Source organism: Homo sapiens, chromosome 5 (genome assembly GCF_000001405.40).
Source record: "Homo sapiens chromosome 5, GRCh38.p14 Primary Assembly".
NCBI lineage: Eukaryota > Metazoa > Chordata > Mammalia > Primates > Hominidae > Homo > Homo sapiens.
Genome location: NC_000005.10, coordinates 155,288,812 through 155,292,580, shown reverse-complemented (window position 1 = coordinate 155,292,580; position 3,769 = coordinate 155,288,812).

Here is a 3,769-nt window from a genome sequence, read left to right as displayed (position 1 = left end):
CACAGTATTCACTTTTCTAAACCTACTTACTATTCTTTTAAAATGGACCTCCTCTTCCTCATCATCATCAATATCATCATTAAAAGAGAAGAGGATGAAGAAGCAGGAGAAGGGACAAAGAGTTCTGGAGGATAATATTCTGAGGTATAAACAGAATGTACCCTCCCAATTTCTTCACACCCTGTGATCACTCCACCACCAACACCATGTACCCTGAGGTATGCTTTGCATTCAGGGATGGTTGAGAGGGCAGAAATGCACTGAACCTGTTTCTGAGTTTTTCTGTTCCACCTTCTAAGTCATAAGAGCCAGGCTTTTTGATGTTCAGGCATTTAAGTCCTGAAGCATTAGGGACAAAGTTTGTGCCCCAACAAAATAGATTTGAAAGATAAATTGCTACAGCTAGTGATCCTCTAAATAAGGATTAAATGGACTAAGAGGAAAGGGGAGGATGGTATGTTGGAGGGCATGTGTGAGTGGAGCTTGGCATTTTGAAGGGAATGGGCCTGGAGGAACCACTTGAGGGTGATTGTCTGCAGCATCGTGGAGACCAAGCCTCCCTTTGAGAAAGCACCAAACTTCTTCCTGCCCCTGGGGCCCAGAGGGAGCCAAACCAGCACCACTGGTTTCCCAGTCTTCATCTAGGGGATACCCGGCCAAGCACTGCCACTGACGAGTGCAGCCGGCAGGAGGATTACCTCTCTGAGCTCTGAGAAATTGCTCAATCGCCATCCAACTCATGTGAGCAACCTCTTCCTCAACAGCTTGGGGTGCCCATCATCAGCCTACAGCTTCTTGAGAGAAAGGATGAACCCTAAATACCTAAAGGAATAGAGCTGATGGTGGCGTGAAAAACAAAGCAACCCTCACCCCAACTTGAGATGGTGGTACATAAACAGTGGTAACAATATTTTTATATAGTTCTATAGATAGCTGAATATATGCCAGTTACTGAGAGCTGTTCTTTCCAGACATAACTCCATGACACCTCAAAACAACCCCCTGAGATAGGTAACAATGTCATCCCCATTTTACAGACACAGTAACTGAGGCTCAGAGAGGCTCACCAAATTGCCCAGACTCACTTAGCTGTGAATGGAACAGCAGAGTTACATGTAATTCAGATTTCTTTCAGGTCTTTACACTAAACTCCTTGAGGACAGGAAATGTCTTAGACTTTGCCTCTTCCCACCCCCAGTCAGGCTAGTGCTAGGTAGCTAGAAGATTCTCAGTAAATGTTTTGTGCTTTTACCAACTGATTTAGATATTTTCCCCCTACAGAAGGAAATTTAAAAAAAACTGCTTGAAATGTGTGTCTCCAGTTCCTTAGCACCAGGAAAACTCCTGGTGCCTCAAAGGAGGTGGGAGGCAGTGAGTGTACATCCACAGGAGAGATCATATTTCAGTCTTTTCATTTCATTTGACAGGAGAAATACTGATTAAAATCAGCGGAACATGTCACAAAAGGGTAACTGGGTTCTTCATTTTTTTCTCTGCAGAGGCAGCTGCAACTGTACTTTTAGGAGATAACTCTTCATGCATAAAATTACTAACAGACACCATCTATCTGATGAATGTCTTTTCCATAATAATTTATATCACTTGATCTATTTTCAAAGGTTAGTCTTACATTAAAATTACAATTCTGAATAGGTCAGCCTGTTATTTAAGGATAAATTATTTCACCTCTTCATGTTAGTGTTGTGTTTGGATAATGATTAGGTTTTTATTTCTAGCCCCCAATGAAACCATGGAAGAAATTGCTTGTTTGACCTAACCTCTGTCACCCTGAATCCTATTCTTTGATTCACGCTGACTCACTGACAGTTCTTAGCCTGCATGTTTCAAGACACTTTATTCCCATTCTTGTCTTCTTGTTACTTTTATACCTTTTTCTCACCTCTTTGACCATCTCTGCCCATTTCCCCTCCACCCCCAACCATCCAACCTTTCCAATCCAAGAACATTCTTGAGTCCTCTCACTGGACACACAGCCCTGTATTTGTGTCATCATTGGTCCATCCCATTTCATTTCTAAAGAGGTAGTATCAGGCCAGGTGTGGTGGCTCACACCTGTAATCCCAACACTTCGGGAGGCTGAGACGGGTGGATCACCTGAGGTCAGGAGTTTGAGACCAACCTGACAAACATGGAGAAACCCTGTCTCTACTAAAAATACAAAATTAGCTGGGCTTGGTGGCACATACCTGTAATCCCAACCACTCGGGAGGCTGAGGCAGGAGAATCACTTGAACCCAGGAGGCAGAGGTTGCGGTGAGCCAAGATCACGCCATTGCACTCCACCCTGGGCAACAAGAGCGAAACTCCATCTCCAAAAATAAAAATAAAGAGGTAGTATCTTTACAGAAGGTCCACAATACCTCCTCTAGCTTTCCCCAACTGAGACTTATTCATTTAACAAATAAGAACAAGGAGTTTCTGGAGTTAATGGGAAGAGGACTAGAGAGAACCCAGTCTGAGTCCTAGAAGATCTAGGTAAGTCAGTGAACCACTCCTGTTTCCCTTTTTTTTTTTAATAGGATGGAAAAAGCACAGGCTGTGAAGTCAGATGGTATAATCTGGGGTTCAAATCCAATATTCCTCGTTACTTAGCAGCCTGGGGCAAGACAATATTTGACAGTTTGTTTTCTTTTTCTATAAAATGAGACTAGTAATCACTTAGCAATTTGTTGTAAGAACTTATAAGTTAAATAGGAAAAATATTCCACAATGCAAATTCAATAAAAGGCATTTAATAAAAATGTGTTAAATGAATGAGTGTATAATCAATAGGTGGCAACTATTATTATTGAGAAAATCATTTTTAATGAAATGTTTGCTTAGCCAAGAAGACTAGAAATGGTAAGTTGAAGGAAAATAAGTTGGCCTGGTGAATAGTGGTTAAAAGAATGGATCCTTCAGGCCTAGCTTTGAGCCCTGACCCCACCAATAACAAGCTATGTGAACTTTTGACAAGTTGCTCAACCCCCAGTTTTCTAATCTGTAATTGTGACAAATAATACCCACTTCATCAGCCTTGGGGAAGCTTAAAAAAGAAAATGCCTGGAAAAGACTTGGCACAGTGCCCATCATAGTGTAAGGCCTTTCTAAATGGAAGATCCTATTGCTAAGATGAATATCAAAGAGAATGAAGAATCTCAGTTGCCTCCACTTCGTGGTACAATTATATAAGTCGAGTGAGAAAATGCTTTGTAACGAGAAAGTATATAAACACATAAGGAATTGTTATTGTTATTAGGAAAAATAATGATGCAACAAATAAATGACTTGTGTTGGAACAAATGGAAACCCCACAAGGCCTGTCTGCAATTGACATGTGTCAATGTGCACATGTGCTTGAGAAAGGTATGGGGTTGGCTTGTTTAATTAAAGGATAATTTCTGTTGTTGCTCTCTGAGTGTACAAAGTCATAAAGTGTGGATGTTTAAAAGAGAGGCTGAAGTAATGTGTGGAGAATGTAATTGATACTCTAAAACTGTTGATTGTAAATATGCTCAGGAGGTAGATAAGTTCACACTGTTTTATAGCAGGAAGGCTTTTTATTGGTAATTTCATGTAATTGTGAAACTGGAAAAATCACTGGACTGGAGGTTTTCTATGTTTCCAGCAGGGAGTATTTCCTGCTTCACAACCCTGAAGAGCCCGAACCCCACCGCCACGCCCCCTCCATCCCTGGCCCTACAGCCACTGGCCATGACTATCCATTTTCTGGGTACAGGGTTTTCTCTGAAGGGACCAAGAGAAGGAA